Genomic DNA, 25,987 nt, shown 5'->3' on the forward strand with positions numbered 1-25,987 from the left:
CACGCGGCCAATCAGCGCGCGGGGTTCGGCAGTCCAATCAGAGCCGCCCGCGGCAGGGCCGCCCACTAGAGCGCGGCGCGGGGCGGGTGTTTCTGCGCGCAGCGTCTTTTCCCGCCGTGCCCCGCGCGCGGCCTTTCACGCCGGGATCCGGGTCCCGGTGCTTCTCGGTTCATTCCCAGCTGGGTCCGGGCCCGGCCAGACTGGGTGGAAATCTGGCTGACCTTGGTGGTCTGTCTTGGCCAGCTGGAGCAAAGGGATGCCAGGGGACGGGTCTCGGTGCAGTGACTGCCATTAGCTTGGGGCCGCAGAAAGTTTCTCCCCTTTCTCGGGCTCCTGCCAGGCCCTTGGCTTTCAGAGCCAGGCCCGATTTCTAGATAACATTTAAGTTTGCAGAAAAGGGGATGCCAAGTCACGGTGGTCACGGCTGTGGGATGCAGCCTCTGAGATTTGTATTAATTTTTGTGAGCCGGGGAAAGGCCTTGCTGCTTTCTCCGCCAGGACTGATGTGTCTTCCCAAGATGAAAGTGCCTGGTAAGGGCGAGGGGCCTCCCTGGGAAGGTCATGAGCATGTAAGGTAATGGGGCCTAGACTGTGACTTTTGGCACGTTTATGAGTGACATCCCCCGGGAGGGCAAGGATAACCATTTGACCTGGTCTGTCATATTCAGGAATAGACTTCAGTTTAGTTGTGGTATTTTCTCCAAAAGAGATTTGTGTATATAGCCCTAGATAGTCTTGTCAAGATTAAACCCAATTTAAACTGTTAACTATAAAATATTTTAGAATTTTGTCTCATTCTAGAATGGCTTTATTCGAAACAAAAAAAAAGGAAGAGTCCCAAGTTTCGTCTCAGTGAAACCTGCCAGTTCAACACTATGATTTATTTTTCTTTTTTTCTTTAATTTTTTTTTTTTTTAAGAGTAGGGTCTTGCTCTGTCGCTGGGTTTACAGGCATAAGCCACCAATCCCAAATCCCGGGGCTATGATTTTTGAAATCATGTTCGTGAGAAGGCAGAGCACATGTGTTGAGAGTCAGACTTTAAACCTGGGTTCAAATCATTAGTGCTTAATCATTGTAAAGCAGTTAGGAGGTTGCGTTCAACATAGCAATTATCAAAGAATGAATGTATAACTTTAAAGACCAATGATATTTTAAACTTTTTTTTTTTTTTGAGAACGGAGTCTCACTCCGTTGCCCAGGCTGGAGTGCAATGGCACGATCTCAGCTCACTGCAACCTCCGCCTCCTGGATTCAAGTGATTCTCCTGCCTCAGCCTCCCCAGTAGCTGGGATTATAGGCATGCGCCACCACGCCCGGCTAATTTTGTATTTTTAGTATAGGCGGGGTTTCTCCATGTTGGTCAGGCTGGTCTCAAACTCCCGACCTCAGGTGATCCGCCCACCCAAAGTGGTGATCGTCCTCCCAAAGCACTGGGATTACAGGCATGAGCCACCGCGCCTGGCCGAACTTTTTAAATTTATTTATTACTATTTTTTGAGACAGGGTCTCCCTCTGTTGCCCAGGCTGGAGTGCTGTCTCAGCTCACTGCAACCTCCGCTTCCCATGTTTGACCAATTCTGCCTCAGCCTCCTGAGTAGCTGGGACTGCAGGCGCCCACCACCACGCCTGGCTAATTTTTGTATTTTTAGTAGAGATGGGGTTTCATCATGTTGGCCAGGCTGGTCTTGAACTCCTGGCCTCAAGCGGTGCTAGGCCAAAGTGCTAGGATTACAGGTGTGAGCCACTGCACCCAGTGCCCCCAAAGTGCTAGGATTACAGGTGTGAGCCACTGCACTCAGCCTTAAACATTTTTTTAATTAAAGCAACCTAAGGTAAAATTTTTTAACCAAATTTAACCCATTCCCAATCAGATTGAATAAATGCCTAGCAGCTTATGTGTTGTGCTAAAACACGATATATTATCTGCCAATAAAAAACAGTATTTTGTATTTATATAGTTTTATTACCAAGAAGCTTACTCAGCTTTATGATTTCCCCTTTGTAATCTGATTAACCTTCATAGTATCTTGAAGTAATGTATAGTGTAGCAATCAGACACTTAGGTAGTGACTTCGTGAGCTCTGACAATGAGTCAATATAATGCAAGAGGCTATGTATGAAGTCCAACCTGGGTGCGTCCACACCACACCAAGAGGACAAGTTAAAATTACCATATGGCCAAAAATTAATATTTTCTGACTTATTTTTGTTTACCATTCCAACCATAGTACTGTATAAAATGTTTGCTATTCATTATAGACCCAGGAATGGAATATTCCTAATATTAAAACAAAAATTTCAACAGCTATAGAAAATGAAAGTGAGTGTGAGATAGAGATACTGGACATAATGTTCTATAGGTTTTAAAAGACTTAAGTAGAAGAAATGGAAACAATGTCTTTACTTCTTGGCAGTGGAGTGGTAACAGCTAATGGCTCTTTCTACCTGGCATGCAGCTTCCTGTAACGACTATTATTAATAGAGCCAGGCTGATCGTGAGGCGCCAGAAAAGGTGTATGGTGGAATTTAACTACAATGGCTTGTATTGCCTGGATATACCCTTTGGTATGCCTATTTTACTAGAAATGTTTGAAAATAGGAAAAAGCTCACTCAAAAGATAAGCTGCCAGTGGGACTTGAAGAGGCTCCCATTACATTCCTCTTCCCTGGAGATGTTTTATTCCCCTCCTCTCCTCCAGTGTTCAGTCTCATGCTCAGCATTGCAAGGGTTACAAAGGTGACTACTTAAGACACAGAGTTTGCCCTTGAAGAACTTGCAGGATAACAAGGGCCATAAGAAAGTATTAAGTGTCGGCTGGGTTCGGTGGCTCACGCCTGTAATCCAGCACTTTGGGAGGCCGAGGCGGGCGGATCACGAGGTCAGCTGATCAAGACCATCCTGGCTAACACGGTGAAATCCTGTCTACTAAAAATACAAAAAATTAGCTGGTCGTGGTGGCGGGGACCTATAGTCCAAGCTACTCGAGAGGTTGAGGCAGGAGAATCGTTTGAACCTGAGAGGCAGAGCTTGCAGTGAGCCGAGATCACGCCACTGCACTCCAGCCTGGGTGACGGAGCAAGACTCAGTCTCAAAAAAAGAAAAGAAAAAAAAAACAACTTCCCAGCACTTGGGAGGCCGAGGTAGGTGGATCACCTGAGGTCAGGAGTTTGAGAGCAGCCTGGGCAACATAGTGAAAACTTGTCTCTACTAATAACACAAAAATTAGCCGAGTGTGGTGGTGGGCACCTGTAATCCCAGCTACTTGGGAAGCTGAGGCAGGAGAATCGCTTGCACCTGGGAGCAAGAGATTGGGCCACTGCACTCCAGCCTGCACAACAGAGGGAGACTCTGTCTCAAAAAAAAAAAAAAAAAAAAAGTCCGGGCACGGTGGATCACGCCTATAATCCCAGCACTTTGGGGGGCCGAGGCAGATGGGTCATGAGGTCAGGAGATCGAGACCATCCTGGCTAACAAGGTGAAATCCCGTCTCTACTAAAAATACAAAAAATTAGCATTAAGTATCCTGAGAGAAGACCAGATAAAATGCTATGATTCAGCATTATTCCTAAAATGGGTACCAGTTGAGCAATACCTGCCAACTCTTAATTTCTGCTTAAATGCCCAACTGCATAGTACATGCTGTTAAATTGAGGGGATAGGTGATATCATGTAAACCCATGTCTTGTCCCTGCCAGCAAGGAAATTGTGCTCTGTGACTTGACTTGGAAAGTATGTAACTAAGACTGAGGAGAATAAATTGATGTTTTCACCTCTCGTATTTGCTTCTGAAGCAGAAAGTTTACTAAGCTAAATCCTGAACTAGGAATTAGTAATACTAGTAATAGCTAATTGTTAATATATATACAGCTCTTATAACAGTTTCTGGCATAATTACTATACAAATATTATTTCTTATTCTTATTGGGTGCTTACTGTATGCCAGGCAATGTTTTTAACCTCTTTATGAGTTTTCACAAACCCCCTAGAAGTACTTGTATTATCCCCATGAAGAAACAGGTCGAGAGAGTTTAAGTAATCTGCTCAAGGTCAGAAAGTGAACAAATGACAGGTCAGGCTTCAAACACAGACAGCCCATGTGCTTGAACAGTGCTACTGGCCTCCCAGTACTTACTGAGGCCTACTCCTATAAAATTCTATTGACTCCCTAAAGTGATGGTGTAGGGAATGCTAACTGATGATAAAGAAAATATGAAACACTGACAAATCATTTAGTGAGCATTTCATTAGTTAGTTGGCTTCCTCTTCTGTGACCTTGAATTGAAACTCTACTGCAAACTAACTGGTTAGAGAAAAATTTTATTTGCAAATAGTTTTAAAAGTTTCAAAGTAGGCCGGGCGCAGTGGCTCACGCCTGTAATCCCAGCACTTTGGGAGGCTGAGGCGGGCGGATCACAAGGTCAGGAGATCGAGACCATCCTGGCTAACAAGGTGAAACCCCGTCTCTACTAAAAATACAAAAAATTACCCGCGTGGTGGCAGGTGCCTGTAGTCCCAGCTACTCAGGAGGCTGAGGCAGGAGAACGGTGTGAACCTGGGAGGTGGAGCTTGCAGCGAGCTGAGGCTGTGCAGCTGCACTCCAGCCTGGGCGACAGAGTGAGACTCCGTCTCAAAAAAAAGTTTGAAAGTAAAACCACCCATTTTTTTTCTTTTTCTTTGTATAAAGTAAAGGAATAAAGAAGGGCTACTCCATAAGCAGAGCAGCCTCTTTTTTTCCTTAAAAGAAAAATAGCTGGCCAGGTGCAGTGGCTCATGCCTGTAATTCCAACTCTTTGAGAGGCTGCGGCAGGTGGATTGCCTGAGCTCGGGAGTTTCAGACCAGCCTCGGCAACATAGTGAAACCCTGTCTCTACCAAAAATACAGAAAATTAGCCAGACGTAGTGGCACCTGCCTGCAGTCCCAGCTACTCAGGAAGCTGAGGTGGGAGAATCACCTGAGCCCAGGATGGAGGTTACAGTGAGCCCAGATAGCACCACTGAACTCCAAACTGGGTGACAGAGTGAGAGTCCATCTCAAAAAAAAAAAAGAAGCTGCATTAATTTTTTTTAAAAGTAATTTTATATTAAGTTTCTACGTAATTTAATTAAACTTGGAACTAAACAATGGATATCAAAATAATGAGGGTTTTTTTGGTATGGTTTATTTATTTATTTTTTTGAGATGTAGTCTTGTTCTGTTACCCAGGCTGGAGTGCACTGGTGCAACCTCGGCTCACTGCAACCTCTGCTGCCTGCTAAAGTGATTCTCCTGCCTTAGCCTCCTGAGTAGCTGGGATTACAGGCGCCCACCACCACGCCTGGCTAACTTTTTGTTTTTTTGAGACAAGGTCTCGCATTGTTGCCCAGGCTGGAGTGCAATGACACGATCTTGGCTCACTGCAACTTCCACCTCCCGGGTTCAAGCGATTCTCCTGCCTCAGCCTCCCGAGTATCTGGGATTACAGGCATGCGCCACCACCCCCATATAATTTTTTTCTTTTTCTATTTCTTTTTTTTTTTTCTTTTTTTTTGAGAAGGAGTCTCACTGTCTTGCCAGGCTGGAGTGCAGTGGCGCCATCTCGACTCACCGCAACCTCCGACTCCCTGATTCAAGCAGTTCTCCTGCCTCAGCCTCCCTCCCAAGTAGCTGGGATTATAGGCACGTGACATCACGCCCACCTAATTTTTGTATTTTTAGTAGAGATGGGGTTTTACCATGTAGGTTTTTGTATTTTAGTAGAGACAGGGTTTCACTATGTTGGCCAGGCTGGTCTCAAACTCCTGACCTCAGGTGATCTGCCCACCTCGGCCTCCCAAAGTGCTGGGATTACAGGCGTGAGCCACCGCATCTGGCCATAATTTTTGTATTTTTAGTAAAGACAGGGTTTCACCATGTTGGCCAGGCTGGTCTTAAACTCCTGACCTCAGGTGATCCATCCTCCTCCACCTTCCAAAGTGCTGGGATTATAGGCGTAAGACACTGCGCCCAGCCTCATTTAACTCCTAACAAAAGCCTCTGTGGCCTGGCGCTGATGACTCACACACACACAAAAAAGAAATCCTGATTCTAGTACTTTCTAGCCATTTGTCTAGAGTTGGAGACCAGCCTGGCCAACATGGGGAAACCCCGTCTCTATTAAAAATACAAAAATTAGCCGGGTGTGGCTGGCGCCTGTAATCCCAGCTACTCAGGAGGCTGAGGCAGGAGAATCAGAGCGGGAGGTTGCAGTGAGCTGAGATCGCTCCATTGCACTCCAGCCTGGGAGACAAGAGTGAGACTCCATCTCAAAAATAGTAATAATAATAATAATAATAATAATAACAAATTTGTAAAGATTAAGTTGAAAAAGAACTACTATATAATTGAGTGAATTAGAAGCTAAGATCCAGAAAAGTATTTAGTCTAATCTCAGATATTTAGCCTAATCCATTCATTTTAAATGAAAAAAGGAGACTTACAGAGTTGCAAAGAGTTCCTACAAATCCCAAAAAGAGCAAATGTTTTGAACGTGATCTAAACTAGGGTGCCAGCCACATCTCATAAGGGGCTTAATGCCTGATTAATGCAATTAATTGCAGTGATGATAAGAAAAGGAGAGCCTAGGTTTTAATACTACCCATTTGTTCATTGAGTCTCTAGCCCCTTTCTTTAAAAATTAACACAAATGGCCATTCTAGTTTATAAATTAGTCACTCGTGAGTTTGGCAAGGATGAATCAATAAATACGTCAGTAGTTTTCAATCTTGAGAAATGTGCTCAGACCTCAATTTATGAAATATTAACTTAGACTCTAAATTTTTATACTATAAAAATATCTTTCATGGCCGGGCACGGTGGCTCACGCCTGTAATCCCAGCACTTTGGGAGGCCGAGGTGGGCGGATCACGAGGTCAGGAGATTCAGACCATCCTGGCTAACACGGTGAAACCCCGTCTCTACTAAAAATACAAAAAATTAGCCGGGCGTGGTGGCGGGCGCCTGTAGTCCCAGCTACTCAGGAGGCTGAGGCAGGAGAATGGCGTGAACCCAGGAGGCGGAGTTTGCAGTGAGCCGAGATCGTGCCATTGCACTCCAGCCTGGGCGACAGAGTGAGACTCCATCTAAATATATATATATATATCTATATATATATATATATAGATATATCTTTCAATTATTAATTGTAACTACAAAAGAAAACATTTGTGTTTATACTTGGCCAAAGAATGGCTTTTAGATAATTAAAGTATTGCAGATACAGTTAACGTTCCCTTCAACCACCCTCACCCCAAGTCCTACTTATTTTCCTTCCTCCCAATAGCATAAAAATGGTATAAACTGGGCACAGGTATGTGCCTGTAGTCCCAGCTACTCAGAAGGCTGAGGTGGAAGGACCCTTGAACTCAGGAGTTTAAGAGCAGCTTGGGCAACATAGCAAGACCCTGTCTCAAAAAAATTAAGTATATCGTTCTAGTCCATTTTAAAATATTATTTTTAAGATTTTATTTATTTATTTATTTTGAGATGGAGTCCTGCTCTGTTGCCCAGGCTGGAGTGCAATGGTGCCATCTTGGCTCAATGCAACCTCCGCCTTCTGGGTTCAAGTGATTCTCCTGCCTCAGCCTCCCAAGTAGCTGGGATTACAGGTGCACACCACCACGCCCAGCTAATTTTTGTAGTTTTAGTAGAGATGGGGTTTCACCTTGTTGGTCAGGCTGGGCTTGAACTCCTGACCTCAGGTGATCCACCTGCCTTGGCCTCCCAAAGTGCTGTCATTACAGGCCTGACCCACCATGCCCAGCCTTAAATATTATTTTTTAAAAAGTATGGCTTCCCTAGGCACACTGCTTTTAGAGTACCCCTGCTCCACAAGGAGCAGTTAAAAAATGTGTGTATACATTAACATATGTATGTGTATGTGTATACATGTGATATATATTCCAAACCATACATGCACCCTTAACATTTTTACATAAATAGTATTGTGTCTATTTGCTTGTGTTCCTGTACAAGAATGTAAGATATGTGAAGCAGAGACTTTATCTTGCTTTGTCTGTTTTCTGCTGTACTGCTAGCTCCTAGAACAGCTCCTGACACATGGTAAGCACCCAAGTATTTGTTGAATAAGTAAATATCAATCCGTAACTTGCTTTTTAAATTTGATATTGTGTCTCTAAGATCTATCTGCGTGTGTGTGTGTGTGTATATATATATATGTTCATTCTCATCAAGTTCATTACTTTATGCTGCTTTATATTATAAATAAACTATGTTCTATTTGTTCATTCACCTATTAGAGGATATTTACATTATTTTCACTCCTTTGCTATCATAAACCCTTACATGCAAATTTGCAAATTTTTTCAGGCCCATGCAGAATCATTTCTCTAGAGTATATATGCCCCAGAAGGTGAATGTTGAGCAATGAAGGGTGATATTTTAAATTTCACTGGTTGCTTGTCATATTACTCTCAAAAGTGGCCATAGCTAATTATACTCTCAGTAGCAGTGGATGAAGGCTTCATGTTTCTTACACCCTTGCCAGAACTTTATACTGTGAGATTTTAAAATTTGTTTGCCAATCTCATGGGTGAAACATGGTGTCTCTTTTTATTTAAATTTTTATTCAGGCTGGGCGCAGTGGCTCATGCCTGTAATCCCACCACTTTGGGAGGCCAAAGCGAGTGGATCACGAAGTCAGGAGATTGAGACCATCCTGGCCAACGTGGCGAAACCCCATCTCTACTAAAAATACAAAAAATTAGCTGGGCATGGTGGGGAGCACCTGTAGTCCCAGCTACTCAGGAGGCTGAGGCAGGAGAATCGCTTGAACCTGGGAGCGGAGGTTGCAGTGAGCCAAGATTGTGCCACTGCACTCCACCCTGAGCGAGACTCTGTCTCAAAAAAAAAAAAAAAAAATTTTATTCAGATAACTGTAGATTTCATATGTAGTCGAAAGAAATAATACGGAGAACTTGCATACCGTTAACCCAGATCCTACTGATGATAATACTTTGCAAAAGTATAGTCACAACCAGAATATCAAAATTGGCACAGTCCACCAATTTTGTACAAGTTTCCCTAGTTTTACTCAGACTCATTTTATGTGTGTGTGAATGCATTTAATTATATATAATTTTATGTCATATGTAGGTCCATGTATCCACCTCCACACTCAAGATACAGAACAGTTAAAACACAAGGATCTTCCTGTCGTGCAAAATCTCAGCTCACTGCAACCTCCACCTGCTGGGTTCAAGCAATTCTTGTGCCTCAGCCTCCCAAGTAGCTGGGACTACAGGGATGCATCACCACACCTGGCTAATTTTTGTATTTTTAGTAAAGACGGGGTTTTACCATGTTGGCCAGGCTGGTCTGGAACTCCTGGCCTCAAGTGATCAGCCTGCCTCGACCTCCCAAAGTACTGGGATTACTGGTGTGAGCCACTGCACCTGGCCTCCCCCTTCTTTTTAACCTCTGTTCTTCATTTGCAAGATTTTATCCTTTCAGGCTGGGCAAGGTGGCTCATGCCTGTAATCCTAGCACTTTGGGAGGCTAAGGCAGGCAGATCACTTGAGGTCAGGAGTTCGAAACCAGCCTGGCCAACATGGTGAAACCGCGTCTCTACTAAAAAAAAAAAAAAAAAGAAATACAAAAAATTAGACCAGGCGCGGTGGCTCACGCCTATAATCCCAGCACTTTGGGAGGCCAAGGCAGGCAGATCACGAGGTCAGGAGTTCGAGACCAGCCTGGCCAATGTGGTGAAACCCCGTCTCAACTAAAAATACAAAAATTAGCCAGGTGCAGTGGCGCGTGCCTGTAGTCCCAGATACTAGGGAGGCTGAGGCAGGAGAATTGCTTGAACCCAGGAGGTAGAGGTTACAGTGAGCCGAGATTGCACCACTGCACTCCAGCCTGGATGACAGGGAGAGACTCCATCTAAAAAAAATTAGCCAGGCGTGGTGGTGGGCACCTGTAATCCCAGCTACTTGGGATGCTGAGGCAGGAGAATCGCTTGAACCCAGGAGGCAGAGGTTTCAGTGAGCTGATATCGCACCACTGCACCCCTGCCTGGGTGATAGAGCAAGACTTCATCTCAAAAAAAAAAAAAAAAAGATTTTATCCTTTCAAAAATGTTGTATTCAATATTGTGTGTGGAAACTTAAAAAGAAAAAAAATAAAAATTAAACAAAATGTTGTATAAAAGGAACCATGTAGTATGTAACCGTTAGAGATTGGCTTTTTTCACTCAGCATATTCAGCACCAAGTTGTTGCATGTATCAGTAATCCAAGGCCGGGCACAGTGGCTCACACCTTTAATCCTAGCACTTTGGGAGGCCGAGGCAGGCGGATCACTGAGGCCAGGAGTTTGAGACTAGCCTGGACAACATGGTGAAACCCTGTCTCTACTAAAAATACAAGAAGTAGGCCGGGCGCGGTGGCTCACGCCTATAATCCCAGCACTTTGGGAGGCAGAGGCAGGTGGATTACAGGGTCAGGAGTTCAAGACCAGGCTGGCCAAGATGGTGAAACCCCCGTCTCTACTAAAAATATAAAAATTAGCCGGGCGTGGTGGCACACTCCTATAATCCCAGCTACTTGGGAAGCTAAGGCAAAGAACTGCTTAAACCTGGGAGGCGGAGGTTTCAGTGAGCTGAGATTGCACTACTGCACTCCAGCCTGGGTGACAGAGCGAGACTCCATCTCAAAAAATATATATATACAAAAATTAGCTGGACGTGATGGTGCATGCCTATAGTCACAGCTACTTGGAAGGCTGAGGCAGGCACATTGCTTGAACCTAGGAGGCAGAGGTTGCAGTGAGCCAAGACTGCACCAGTGCACTCTAGCCTGGGTGATAGAACGAGACTCCATCTCAAAAAAAAAACCAAGAAAAACAAAAAAAAATCCCTTTTATTGTTGGTATTCTATGGTATGGATGGACCACAGTCTGTTCAACCATCACTCATTGAAGGACCTATGTTTATTTCCAAGTTTAGGCTATTACAAATAAAGCTGCTGTTAACATTTATGTATAGGTTTTTTGTGCGAACATTAATTTCCATTTGGTGTCTCATTTTTTTCAATTAGCGTTTCCCAGATTACCAGTGGGGTTGAATATCTCTTCATATATTTGTAGACTATTCAGGTTTCCTCTTTGCTATTTTGCTTATTTCTTCTGTTGGGTTGTCTTTTTCTTACTACTTTGTAAGGGTTCTTTTTTTTTTAAGACGGAGTTTTGTGCAATCTCGGCTCACTGCAACCTCCGCCTCCCGGGTTCAAGCGATTCTCCTGCCTCAGCCTCCTGAGTATCTGGGATTACAGGCATGCACTACCATGCCCGGCTAATTTTGTATTTTTAGTGGAGACGGGGTTTCTCTATGTTGGTCAGGCTGGTCTTGAACTCCTGACCTGAGGTGATCCACCTGCCTCAGCCTCCCAAAGTGTTGGGATTACAGGCATGAGCCACCGCGCCCAGCCTAAAAGTTCTTTATATGTTCTGCATAGCAATCTTTTGTCAGTTATGTGAAACTTTGTGTTGACATTTTGGTGGTCATTGTTTCTCAACGTGCTGTAAAGTTTAGGAATAGATGAATGATTTCTGAAACTTGAATTTGGATCACTGATGAAGTGACCAAGGGGTTTCATTTGGGGCTGCCCACCTTGTGGAGCTTTGGGCCTGCTGCACCTTACATGTAGCAGTGTTTTCTTTGCATCCTTGCATGCCAGCGATACACTTTAATTGGTGGCACGTTAGGTTCTAGGCACACCATATCAAAACATCTACCTGCTTGAGGGCAGATGTCATGAGCACAGATCCTTTGCCTCGTTTTTTTGGAACATTCAGATACATTTATTGCATTGTAAAACCAGCCGTGTTTTCTGGCATTTTGACCAGCCCTCGGAAACTGCTGACATCATGATGTACTCCTTGCCTGGTGTTTCCATTTTCCCCAGCACTGCAGCTAGAATTTAGAATCCTGACTCACCCTTCAGCCAGCCACAGAGCATGCTGATTATTCTGGTACAGTCAGTGCTCACGAAGTGACTTTGCAAGGGGAAATAGCTTTTGGACAAGTCAAAGCCAGTGCAATTTCAGATAATAGCCCAGCTTTTCTTTTCTAACGTTCTCATCTGCTCAGATGCTGCTGCTTTCTCCCCTGATGGGAAGTGGAAGCCATGATTCTGCAGTCCTGGCCATAAAGCTGTGAATTGTACTAGCTGGCACAGCCAGTACTGCCCTACTGAGTTCAGTGAACTGTCCTTCTGATCTACACTGAGAGAGCCTGGCTGTGGTGCAATGCTCACAGTGAAGCCGTCTGCATAGCTGAGCTAACAATTCAAACTTCAGCTCTCATTTCAATAAATTACCTTATAAAACACTCACTGACCAAGATTACCTTGAGTAGCTTATTTATATGAATTTTGCAGTTACCCCAAATTAGCCATGGAGAAACTGATATACAATGTTTCTTATAATTTCCCCTCAAACCATAGCAAAAACATGAAGGGAAGTACTAGGATTTCTGGGAATATGGAATTTATATCTATGCCCCACAAACAATGTTAAAGAAAACGGGCTTTGGATATTTTCAAAGGCCTGTGGTGAGGATTAAATAAGGCATAATATATGAAAATGTTTTGTGAATTCCAAAATGTTTTACCAAGATAAAAGATTTTTAAAATCAGTTTCTGTCAGTTTCATACATCCAATCCTGAAATCAAGTCTACACTGATTTATTACATATAAGGAAATATTTTTGACGTGAATAGGCAATCATAGAATTTCTATTGTATTCGAATAATGATTGAAAGTAATTTTCTTTTTGAGATTTTGACTTCCCCATTTGAGGTAATATTCTCAAGGGACTAAATGTTACTGATGTTGAAGATTTATCCCAAATGAGGTTTGCTTTGGGTGACAGAATTCAAAGCTAGCTCTGAACAAAACTGAAATGGTGGCTAATACGATCCTTTCTGTGCCTCCCTTTTCTTTCCTTTTGGATACTTCAAATACACAGCTAGTTTCCTTGGGACATCCTAGGGCAGTCAGGGTCATTTCCTTCTCTCTCCAAGACTGACCTGCCACAATCCATCAGGGACTATGATTTTGTTGTAAATATTTAGAAAGATGGTGCACAACAATAGATTTGGCAAAAACTGAGCTGATGGCATGCAAGTGTAGCCAAGTGTGGGAATCCATACTTGGAATAATCTAAAGGAATGTTTAACGGTGGTAAAAGAGAAGTGCAGGAGATGGGGCAGCATTTTCAGGGCCTCTCACCTAATGAAATATTGGCATCTTACAGGCTTGAGGGTCACTTGTCTGATGATTTGTGTGCTAATTCTGTTGGAAGAGAAGATTCTCAAGAAATACACTATTGCCATTAAAAGTAAAACACAAGATTGTTTCCTCCCTTGAATATAGCAAGAACTCTGTAGAGTAATCAATGCTTTGGCCAGATATCCTTGAGAATTAATGTTTTTTAGATTGCAGGGAGAAGAAAAGAGGACAGAAACAAGTTTCTGTTTCATATTCCTTCTGTGTGGTGTTAGAGCAGAAGAACCCTAGGGAGTGCAGGGCTGGGGCCTGGGACATGTGAATGTCTGCACATTGGCAGTTCAGCAAGCTTTTCCTGTTGGCCTGCTATTCCCAGGAGACTGTCTATAGGGCTGCTTGGCAGCAGGTGAGGAAGGTGTGTATGTCTGAAAAATTCAGGATAGACAGACAACATCCCAAGTTTTGAACAACAATCCAACTGTGTGTGTGTGTGTGTGTATGCACCCGCATGTTCACAGCTGCACACAGCACCTTGCACTTCCTTTATTAATAGAAAACTGGAAGAATGATGCAGCAGGATTAAGCCCCAGGGTATTGACTGGGACTCGGGGAGACCTAAGGCACAACTAAAGGGTGGAATTTTTCTTTAATTTCTGTCTCTTTTTTCACATCTCCCTTTCCCCTTCCTTCCTGTTATCTTTCCAGTACTCATAGGTTGTGGTCTCAGCTGAATAAGAACCAGTAAATAACTTCCCATTGAGAAGTTAGGGGACATTGGCCAAGGTCTTAGCATTTCCAGGGTTTCTTCCAAGGGTCTTTCTTGAAGGCCACATTAAATCTCTTGTGGTAGATTTTCTAGAGAAGCCAAGGAGCAGTCTCCTTGAGTTTCCTCACATCAGACCTATAGACCCTTACTCACTTTCTCCTAATACCTACTTTGATATATTTCTTTTTTTCTTTTTTCTTTTTGAGAAGGGTCTCACTTTATCACCCAGGCTGGAGTGGTGCAGTGGCACGATCTTGACTCACTGCAACCTCTACCTCCTGGGTTTAAGTAATTCTCCTGCCTCAGCCTCCCAAGTAGCTGGAATTACAGGCACCCACAACCATGCCCAGCTAATTTTGTTGTTGTTGTTGTTTTGAGACAGAGTTTCGCTCTGTCTCCCAGGCTGGAATGCAGTGGCGTGATCACAGCTCACTGCAACCTCTGCCTCCCAGGTTCAAGTGATTCTCCTGCCTCAGCCTCCTGAGTAGCTGGGACTACAGGTGCCCGCCACCATGCCTGGCTAATTTTTGTACTTTTAGTAGAGGCAGGGTTTCACCATGTTGGCCAGGCTGGTCTCGAACTCCTGACCTCAAGTGATCCGCCCGCCTCGGCCTCCCAAAGTGCTGGGATTACAGGAGTGAGCCCCTGTGCCAAGCAATCTATTTCTATGTGAAGGAGAATACACTGGGTTGTTACACAGGGGCATAAAAGGTGAAATTATATCTTAGGATTCACAGTAGAGAGGAAAAAAAGCTAACTCTGCCAACTAAAATTATAGAAGGTCTTGAAAACAAATCTCATCATTTCATGAAAACAAATCTCATCATTTCATTATATGTTTCTAAATTGCAGGCTGGGTGCAGTGGCTCACGCCTGTAATCCCAGCACTTTGGGAGGCTGAGGTAAGATCACTTGAGGCCAGGAGTTTTGAGACTAGACTGGGCAACAAAGTGAGACCCCTGTCTCTACAAAAAAATTAAAAAATAAAAATTAGCCGAGTGTGGTGGCACATACCTAGAGTACTCTAGCCTGGGTGACAGAGCAAGACTGTCCCTAAAATAAAATAAATTAAGAGCAGACTCTACAGGCTCAGAGTAGACAAGGTCCTGGTATCTAATAGCGTACTTGGCACATGGGCCTTCAATGAACTATTTTTTTTTTTTTTTAGATGGAGTCTCGCTCTGTTGCCCAGGCTGGAGCACAGTAGTGCAATCTCGGCTCACTAAAAGCTCCGCCTCCCGGGTTCATGCCATTCTCCTGCCTCAGCCTCCCGAGTAGCTGGGACTACAGGCACCCGCCACCACGCCTGGCTAATTTTTTTTTTCAGTGGAGACGGCATTTCACCGTGTTAGCCAGGATTGTTTCGATCTCCTGACCTCGTGATCCGCCCACCTTGGCCTCCCAAAGTGCTGGGATTACAGACGTGAGCCACCGCGCCCAGCCAATGAACTATTATTGAATGAATACCTCATTTTCCCTCTTGGCATCACACCTGAGATTGCCTGATTTGTACGTTGTCCTCAGAGCCAGCATTTATTACATTGCATTTGAGAGTCGCTAAGACAAGGCATTTTCCACACGCTTTTCCTGTTTTTTAAGTACCTTCCAACCTTGATTTGCTGATAACAGCAGTTGGCTTGTATTTTATGCTGGCCTTTGCAATGATACAGCAAATGGAATCTGGAATCTCCGGAATCGATGTCAATATGAATAGTTTCTAAGTGGAACTGCCATACAATGAGGAAGTTATCACTTACCCACAAGAGGTCTGTGACTTTGGAATCAAGTATATATAAGAAGTACTTTTTACACTGTAATGTGCTACTCAAATGTTTTGTTGTTATTATTATATCAGAAAACAACCCACAGGACCTTATAAATAATAATGATTCCAGTCATGTTCATCCTATGTGACAAAGCAATGGTTCTCAACATTTTTGGTCAGCTAATCACTTTGGCAAAATATCTCAAAACTTCGTATCTCAATTACCCATACTACTCAGTCCAAGAGTTTTGCCAGAATAAATAGGAAGAGTAGAGCTACTTTTAATTTCTGGTTTCCATTAGCCTTCTGCTGGGAAAGAGAAAAGAGATAGAGTAGAAAAGAGTTTCAAGTACAAGGGTCCATGACCTCCAAAGTCAACTACGTTGAGATTCTTGATGGTGAAGCAACAAGACAAGAAGCCAGGCTAAACATTGGCGACCCAGAAAAGGAGATAGAAAGGCCAGAGAATGCAAGACCTGCCACCCCGTGCCTGCTTTCACCTCCTCATCTGTACTTGCTGGTGTTTCTTTTTTTTTTTTTTTTTTGAGATGGAGTCTCGCATTGTCGCCCAGGCTGAAGTGCACTGGTGTGATCTCGGCTCACTGCAAGCTCCGCCTCCTGGGTTCACGCCATTCTCCTGCCTCAGCCTCCCGAGTAGCTGGGACTACAGGCATGAGCCACCACGCCTGGCTAATTTTTGTACTTTTAGTAGAGGCAGGGTTTCACCATGTTGGCCAGGCTGGTCTCGAACTCCTGACCTCAAGTGATCCGCCCGCCTCGGCCTCCCAAAGTGCTGGGATTACAGGCATGAGCCACCGTGCCCGGCCACTTGCTGGTGATTCTGAAGGATCTGTCCTTTGCGGTGTCCCTCCTTGCTCTCCAGAATCTTCGCTTCAACTCCCATCTAAGATGAAAGGAGCCAACTAAGCTCACTTCGGGGCAGCTGGTCATTGCCTTTAGGGAACACGAGATTAGCGTTGCCAGATATCTGACCTTTTGGCAGAAGTTAAAATTCTTGATATTTTTGAGAATCTTCTAATTTTCAACTGTTGGCAACTTATTTAAAAGATTGTTCTGGCCAAATGAAACCCATTAGCAGGATGGATTTTGCCCACAGACCACTGGTGACTGATGACACATTTTCAAGCTTTACCCCTCACGTCTTTCTCTCTCGTTTTTTTTTTTTTGTTTGTTTGTTTGTTTTAAGATGGAGTTTCACTCTTGTTGCTCAGGCTGGAGTGCAATGGCACAATCTCGGGTCACTGCAAACTCCGCCTCCCAGGATCAAGCAATTCTCCTGCCTCAGCCTCCCAAATAGCTGGGATTACAGGCATGTGCCACCACGCCCAGCTAATTTTGTATTTTTTTTTTTTAGTAGAGATGGGGTTTCACCATGTTGGCCAGGCTGGTTTCTAACTCCTGACCTCAGATAATCCACCCGCTTTGGCCTCCCAAAGTGCTGGGATTACAGGTGTGAGCCACCACACCCAGCCCTCACCTCCTTTTTGAATTTGGGACTTGTATCTTTACTTAAAATTTGGATAGATTAAACCGGGCATTTCCACACACTGTTCAAATACAACTCATTTAAACTACAATGTACTTTACCAAATATACAAACAAGCAAACAAAACCAGCTTATCATTTTAAAGTCTGTGTCAGCCACCACTCATCTGTTAGTCCAGATTAGAAGCCTTGGAGTCATCTGTGGTCCTTCTCTCTACTTTGTCTCTCACCTGCAATTCCTTCCTTAAGCACCAAATGCCAGGTATTAAGCTAAACACTGAGGATACAAAGCTTAGCCAGTGGTGGTGTGGGTGCTTGTACTCCCAGCTTACTTAGGAGGCCAAGGCAGGAGGATTGCTTGAGCCCAACAGGTCAAGTCTGCAGTGACCCATGATCGTGCCACTGCACTCCAGCCTGGACAACAGAGTGAAACCCTGTCTCTAAAAAGTAAAATATAAAAATAAAACTAAAGTTGAAAAGACAGCCCAGGCCAGGCTCTGCAGCTGTTAATGTCTATGGGTAGAAGGCAACAAGTATTTACAAAACAGTATTTACCAAGTATTATAACAGACATATACAAAATGCCACATGATCTTGTTTAATCCACACAATAATCTTGTGAAATAGTGTCTTTTTAATAACAGCTTTATTGAGATATAATTGACATACCATAAAAGCCACCCTTTTAAAATGTACAATTCAGTAGGTTTTAGTACATTCATAGTGCCATGACATCAAATTAGTTGTTATCACTAATTCCAGAACATTGGGTTTTTTAAAAATTTTGATAGAGATGAAGTTTCACTGTGTTGCTCAGGCTGGTCTCAAACTCCTGAGTAAAGTGATGCAAAGTGCCTTGGCCTCCCAAAGTGCTGAGATTACAGGTGTGAGCCATGGTGGCCAGCCCAGAACATTGTTTTGAGCAGTTTTAAGTTCATAGCAAAATTGAGCAGAAAGTACAGAGTTCCCATTCATTCCCTGCCCCCACACATGCATAAACAAGGATCAGCATCTCCACTAGAGTGATAGATTTGTTACAATCAATGAACTTTCACTGATTCATCATTACCCCCAAAAGTTCATAATTTACATTAGGGTTCACTCTTGGTGCCATACATTATATGGGTTTGGACAAAAGTATAACGATATGTATCCACTTTTGTAGTATCATACAGAGTGGTTGTCACTGCCCCCAAAATCTCTGTGCTCTGCCTATTCATCACTCTCTCCTAATCCTTGGCAACCTGGACTTCTCCGTATTTTTGCTTTTCCAGACTGTTATGTACAGTATTTGGAATCACACAGTATGTAGCCTTTTCAGATTGGCATCTTTCACTTAGTGATACGCGTTTATGGGTCCTCCATGTCTTTTCATGTCTTGATAGTTCATTTTTTAGTGCTGAATGCTATTCCATTGTCTGAATGTACTACAGTTTATCCATTCACCTGCTGAAGGACATCTTGGTGGCTTCCAAGTTTTGACAATCATGAATAAAGCTGGTATAAGCATCTGTGTGCAGGTTTTTTGTGGACATATTTTCAGTTCATTTGGTTAAATAACCACAAAGCAAATTGCTGGTTCATATGGTAGGAGTATATTTAATTTTTGTAAGAAACTGCCAAATTGTCTTCCAAAGTGTCTGTACCATTTGCCCTTCCCCTGAGCAATGAATGAGAGTTCCTGTTGCTCAACATCCTTGTCAGCATTTGATATTGTCAGTGTTTTAGATTTTGGCCATTCTAATAGATGTGTAATAGTATCTCATTTTTGTTTTAATTTGCAATTCCCTAAGGGCATATGATATATAGTTTGGATATTTGTCGCCACTCAAATCTCATGTTGAAATGTAATCCCTAATGTTGGAGGTGGGGCCTGGTGGAGGGGTTTGGGTCATGGGGCAGATCCCTCATGGCTTGGTGCTGTCCTTGCAATGGTGAGTGAGTTATCATAAGATTGGTTGTTTAAGCGTGTGGCACCTTCCCCCTACACTGTCTTGCTCCTGCCTTCACCATGTGATGATGTGCCTGCTCCTGCTTCACCTTCCATCATGAGTGAAAGCTCCCCGAGGCCTCCCCAGAAGCTGATAAGATAGATGCTGGTGCCATGCTTGTACAGCCTACAGAACTGTGAGAAATTAAACCTCTTTTCTCAATAAAATACCCAGTCTCAGGTATTTCTTTTCTTTCTTTTTTTTTTTTTTTTGAGATGGAGTCTCACTCTGTCGTCCAGGCTGGAGTGTGGTGGCGCAATGTTGGCTCACTGCAACCTTCACCTCCCAGGGTCAAGTGATTCTCCTGCCTCAGCCTCCCAAGTAGCTGGGATTACAAGTGCATGCCACCATGCCCAGCTAATTTTTGTATTATTAATAAAGATGGGGTTTCACCATGTTGGCCAGGCTGGTTTTGAACTTCTGGCCTCAAGTGATCCTCCTATGTTGACCTCCCAAACTGCTGGGATTATAGGTGTGAGCCACCATGCCCAGCCTGGCTACTTTTAAGTTTCCATTTCTCTCCAGCAATAACTAATCTTTTCATTCATTATGTCTGTTGTAACCTTTAACATATTGATAATAGTTGCTTTATATTTAAATTTTTGTTAATTTATTTAGAGATGGGATCTTGCTCTGTTGCCCAGGCTGGAATGCAGTGGTACAGTCATGGCTCACTACAGCCCTAAACTCCAGGAGTCAGGTAATCTTCCTGCCTCAGCCTCCTGAGTAGTTGGGACTACAGGCAGGAGCCACTGTGCCCAGAGTGTCCTCATACCTTAAATGCACAATTTCTGTTGCTTACAGTCCAATAACCATTACTGAGTGCTATAGAAATACCAAAAAAACATACATTTTGAAAACAGTCAGAACAGGGTTTGAATCAGGACTTTATCTTGGAGCAAGTTCTTCAACCTCTGTGAGCTCAGTTTTCTTGTCTCCAAAACATAGATCATCTTCACATGACTTTGTGAGGCTTAAATGAAATGAGATTGCATATGTAAAAGTGCCCAGCTCAAGCCTAGTATTTACTGGCCACTGAATAATTATTAGTTTCATTCCCCCTGTACCTATATTATACAAAAAACAAAAGAGGCATTAAAATAGACATCATATTTCTTCATGTGAAAAGCTGTTTTATACGGTTTTATACACAGTTTGAATAGGTAGGAATAATATACAAATTCTGATCAAAATCATAAAATAAAGCTAGGAAATTTTAATTAGTTGAAACTTTAGAAAAACTAAGTAAATAAACTAAATAACTGAATAAATTTAGAATTAAAAAGTAGATATTACCCGAATTTTGGTATGTAAATGAATGTAAAAAACATATAGCCAAAATCACATTAGCAAAAATTCTGTTTCTGCATCAGCCCTGAACCTGCATTTGCTTATAAGTAACATGGTAATTTAACAGGATTCATTTAATTCTTGGCTCCTACTAAAGAGACACTGTCCCTGCCCACGGGCTACACTCCAATAGAGAAGAATACAGAACCAAATGCAGTAGAACTCTGGCAAATGATTCAATAATTCATTCTTCAGTTAATAGGGTTGCAAAAAAAAAAAGTACACTCAGCAAACATTTATTGAGAACCTACTGTGTGACAGGCATGTTCCAGGCACTGCAGATGACACAGAGGATCATCTGGCTTATGGAGTTGTTGTTGTTGTTGTTGTTTTTGACACAGGGTCTCTCTCTGTTGCCCAGACTGGAGTGCAGTGGCATGATCTCGGCTCACTGCAACCTCTGCCTCCCAAGCTCAAATGATCCTCCCACCTCAGCCTCCCCAGTAGCTGGGACCACAGGTGTGAGTCCCAGCTAATTTCTGTATTTTTTGTAAAGATAGGGTCTCCCTATGTTGCCCAGGCTGGTCTCGAACTCCTGGCTTCAAGCAATCCACCCACCTTGGCCTCCCAAAATGCTGGGATGATAGGTGTGAGCCACTGTGCCCAGCCTTATGGAGTTTACTTTACCAGGGCTGTGTTTAGAGAGAGCTTTGCCAAAACATAAACACACAAACACTGCCAACGGGAGAATGCCACGTAGTGAGGTAAGCAAACAATGGCAACAACAAAGTTCTCCCGCTCTCAGCCAAGAAAAGCCCAACTCTATGCCTTAGCAGAATGACCAAGTAACACTGTCCTGGACCTTCAGGGTCACCAGAGAACAGGCCAAACTAAGACTGCTTCAGCCTACAAATGACAAGAGCCTACCATACAAGCAGAGTATTCTATGACACCAGGACACGCTAAAGCCATGTGGGCCTCTGTGGTCTAGGTTTGCCTCTCCCTGCAGCCACATGGGCTGTGGAGAGTTTTTGGGAGTTTCCTGCCTTCATGCCCTGCACATACTCTGCCTGGACCACTCTTGTGCTTGCCGTTCCTGCCAACTCCCAGGTGAACCACGCATCCTTGGGTCACAGTCTTTGCAGGCAGTGACCCACACACCCTCAGGAGGAGATGCCCTGGCAGAGCCCCGCCCCCACTCCATCAGGTATGCTATGTACTGGGCTGAAAGGTTCTACAGAAACACATGGGGGCTTCCCCACCAGGATGGCTGCTCCTAGGACAGGACTGGGTCACAAGTATTTTCTGTCTCCCTAGTGCTGGCCTAGAGTAGGTGCTTACAGCCATTTGTTAAATTGAAAGGGACAAGTGTACAAAGGCAGGCTGAGCCTGTCATCAGCCTGGCCACATTGTGTACGTGGCAGAATGATGGCCCTGGATACTGACCCCCTGCGCCCACTGCATCTGACACCGAGTCTGACTTAGAACTTTAATCTGGAAGGATTTTTTTTTTTTAATTTCTAAGTCTCCACCTCACCACTTTTTTTTTTTTTTTTTGAGACCAAGTCTCACTTTGTTGCCCAGGCTGGAGTGCAGTGGCATGATCTCAGCTCACTGCAACCTCCACCTCCTGGGTTCAAGCAATTCTCCTGCCTCAGCCTCCTGAGTAGCTGGGACTACAGGCATGTACCACCATGCCCAACTAATTTTTGTGTTTTTGTAAAGAAGGGGTTTCACCATGTTGGCCAGGCTTGTCTTAAACTCCTAACCTCAAGTGATCCCCCAGCCTGAGCCTCCCTAAGTGCTAGGATTACAGACGTGAGCCACTGTGCCCTGCCCACCTCACTACATTTTAAGTTGATTTTTTTAAAAGGGTCAGTGTTCATTAAAGGAAGACTAAACAGATTTCTGGTTGTTTTTGTTGTTGCTGTTTTAGAGACAGGGTCTCCCTCTGTTGCCCAGGCTGGAGTGCAGTGGCACAATCCTAGCTCACTGAAACCTTGAACTCTTGGGTTCAAGCGATTCTCCCATCTCAGCTTCCCAAGTGGCTAGGACTACAGGTATATACCACCATGCTTGGCTAGCAGATTTCTGTTTTACAAGCCAAGGCCTTCTGCAGCTTTGGAGTGGATTCTCTATCTGAATGTTTTATTGTGGTAAAATATACATAATGGCCGGGCGCGGTGGCTCACGCTTGTAATCCCAGCACTTTAGGAGGCTGAGGTGGGCGGATCACGAGGTCAGGAGATCGAGACCAAGGTGAAACCCCGTCTCTACTGAAAATACAAAAAAATTAGCCGGGCGTGGTGGCAGGCACCTGTAGTCCCAGCTACTCGGAGAGGCTGAGGCAGGAGAATGGCGTGAACCCGCGAGGCGGAGCTTGCAGTGAGCAGAGATGGCGCCAATGCACTCCAGCCTGGGCGACAGAGTGAGACTCCATCTCAAAAAAAAAAAAAAAAAATATATATATATATATATATATATATATACACACACACATACATATACATATATATACGTATATATATATATGTGTGTGTGTGTGTGTATATATATATACACATAACATAAAATTTACCACTTTAAGTGAAGAGTCCGGTGGCACTAAGTACATTCACATTGTTGGGCAACCGTCACCACCATCCATCTCAGAACTTTTTTGTCTTCCTCAACTGAAACTCTGTCCCCATGAAACACTAACTCCCCATTTTCCCTTCCCCCACCCCCTAGCAACTGTCATTCTGCCTTCTGTCTTTATGAATTTGACTACTCTAGGGCCCTCATGTAAGTAGAACCATACAGTATTTTCCTTTTGTGACTGGCTTATTCACTTAGCATGATGTCCTCAAGGTTCACCCATGTTGTAGCTCATGCTCAGAATTTATTTCCTTTTTAAGTCTCTAGTTGAATTCTTATCCCTTCATTTCGCTTCAAATTAAAACAACACAAGTCAGCCCTGATTTTGCAAACAAATGTGCCAAAGTGACATAAAGGCACGATGCAGCCTGAGAGGCCTGTCCACGCTGGCTGCCAGCCACTGTCTCCAGAGGCTGCCTTTGCAAGGATGGTCACTTGGATAAGGGGCTTGAAGCTCTCCCTATTGATGGTGGCTGAGAAGTAGCAGAACGTTAAGTTTTCTTTGCCAAAACAGAATCTAAATTGTGCTGAATCAGAGCAACTATAAACATTGTTTGCTTTTAAATATTTTACTTTATCCAGCAGGCTTTCAGATAATCAGCTTGTGTTCTGGAACTGTCTTTCTGAGAAATAAACACAAATGAGTTGGCAGAGTCCACGTACAAAATATCTCAGGCTGTCCCAGCCTAGGACAAGCCAAGTAAATATAAATCATGGATTTTATAGCATTATATAAATCTTTATAAAAGGAATGCATTAATTGATTCAAGGACATTTGTAGTCTATATGAAACTAGCAATACATAAAATATTTTATGTTTTTTTCTTATACTTTAATATTCTACTCTCTCTCTCTCTCTATATATATATATATATTTTTTTTTTTTTTTTTTGAGATGGAGTCTCGCTCTGTTGCCCAGGCTGGATGGAGTGCAGTGGCGTGATCTCGGCTCACTGCAACCTCCGCCTTCTGGGTTCAGGCAATTATCCTGCCTCAGCCTCCCAAGTAGTTGGGACTGCAGGCGTCTGTCACCACGCTTAGCTAATTTTTTTTTTTTTTTTTTTGAGACGGAGTCTCCCTCTGTCACCCAGGCTGGAGTGCAGTGGCGCGACCTCGGCTCACTGCAACCTCCACCTCCCGGGTCCAAGCGATTCTCCTGCCTCAGCCTCCTGAGTAGCTGGGACTACAGGCGCATGCCACCACGCCTGGCCAATTTTTGTATTTTTGGTAGAGACAGGGTTCCTCCATGTTGGCCAGGTTGGTCTCAAACTCCTGACCTCAGGTGATCTGCCCGCCTTGGCCCCCCAAAGTGTTGGGATTACAGGTGTGAGCCACCGTGCCTGGCCAGCTAATTTTTGTTTTTATTTTTATTTTATTTTATTTATTTATTTTTTTTTTTGAGACGGAGTCTCACTCTGTTGCCAGGCTGGAGTGCAGTGGCACGATCTCGGCTCACTGCAACCTCTGCCTCCTGGTTCAAGCAATTCTCCTGCCTCAGCCTCCCGAGTAGGTGGGACTACAGGCGCACGCCACCATGCCTGGCTAATTTTATTTTTTTATTTTTTTATTTTAGTAGAAACAGGGTTTCACCATGTTGCCCAGGCTGGTCTCGAACTCCTGAGATCAGGCAATCTGCCCGCCTCGGCCTCCCAAAATGTTAGGATTACAGGTGTAAGCCACTGTGCCCAGCCTATTTTATTTTCTTTGAGATGGAATTTCGCTCTTGTCACCCAGCCTGGAGTGCATTGGCGCGATCTCTGCTCACCGCAACCTCTGCCTCCCGGGTTCAGGCAATTCTCCTGCCTCAGCCTCCCAAATAGCTGGTACTACAGGCATCCGCCACCATGCCTAGCTAAGCTTTGTTTTTATTTTTATTTTATTTTATTTTGAGACAGAATTTCACTCTTGTCACCCAGGCTAGAGTGCAATGGCACGATCTCCGTTCACTGCAACCTCCGCTTCCTGGGTTCAAGCTATTCTCTTGCCTCAGCCTCCTGAGTAGCTGGGATTACAGGCTCCCGTCATCACGTCTGGCTAATTTTTGTATTTTTAGTAGAGATTTGAATTCCTGACCTCAAGTGATTGCCCACCTCAGCCTCCCAAAGTGCTGGGATTACAGGTGTGAACCACCGCACCCAGCCCTCCTATATAGATATATTTCATATAATATTTTCTAAGTACAGTAATTTTATCACCTCTTCTAGTCATCAGTTAATCAAACCGAAGTCAAAGAAATAACTGCTGGTGTCTCTAGAAAACAATCCAACCAGGCCAGGCGCAGTGGCTAATGCCTGTAATCCCAACACTTTGGGAGGCCGAGGCGGGTGGATCACTTGAGGTCAGGAGTTTGAGACCAGCCTGGCCAATATGGTGAAACCCCGTCTCTACTAAATTTACAAAAGTTAGCTGGGCGTGGTGGTGGGTGCCTGTAATCCCAGCTACTCGAGAGGCTGAAGCAGGAGAATCGCTTGAACCTGGGAGGCAGAGGTTGCAGTGAGCCGAGATCATACCACTGCACTCCAGCCTGGGCGACAGAGCGAGACTCTGTCTCAAAAACAAAACAGAACAAAACAAAAAGTTAAACATAGACTTACCATATGACCCAGCAATTCTACTCCTAGGTGTATACCCCAAAGAATTAAACACAGGGACACAAACACCAATGGTCATTGAAGCATTAGCATTGTTCACAACAGCCAAAAGGCAGAAACAACTCATGTTCATCAATAGATGAACAGGTACACAAAACACGGTATATACTCTTCAATGG

At 43.9% G+C, this 25,987-nt stretch overlaps 1 long non-coding RNA gene across 1 annotated transcript, besides 1 other annotated feature; it reads left to right on the top strand.

Annotated features, from left to right (window-relative positions):
- LOC105374101 (uncharacterized) lies at window positions 133-12,363 on the top strand. The gene is made up of 2 exons (XR_924469.3): window positions 133-531; window positions 12,124-12,363. It is a non-coding gene; the product is annotated as an uncharacterized LOC105374101 (long non-coding RNA).
- Window positions 289-378: an enhancer, noted in NCBI's record as "active region_20506". NCBI's record gives its function as "activates an Ori minimal core promoter by ATAC-STARR-seq in GM12878 lymphoblastoid cells {active_cell/tissue: GM12878}" and the evidence as "EXISTENCE:reporter gene assay evidence [ECO:0000049][PMID:35858748]".
- Window positions 12,364-25,987: the final 13,624 nt, after the last annotated feature.

The sequence above is a fragment of the Homo sapiens genome, chromosome 3 (assembly GCF_000001405.40).
Source record: "Homo sapiens chromosome 3, GRCh38.p14 Primary Assembly".
Lineage (NCBI taxonomy): Eukaryota > Metazoa > Chordata > Mammalia > Primates > Hominidae > Homo > Homo sapiens.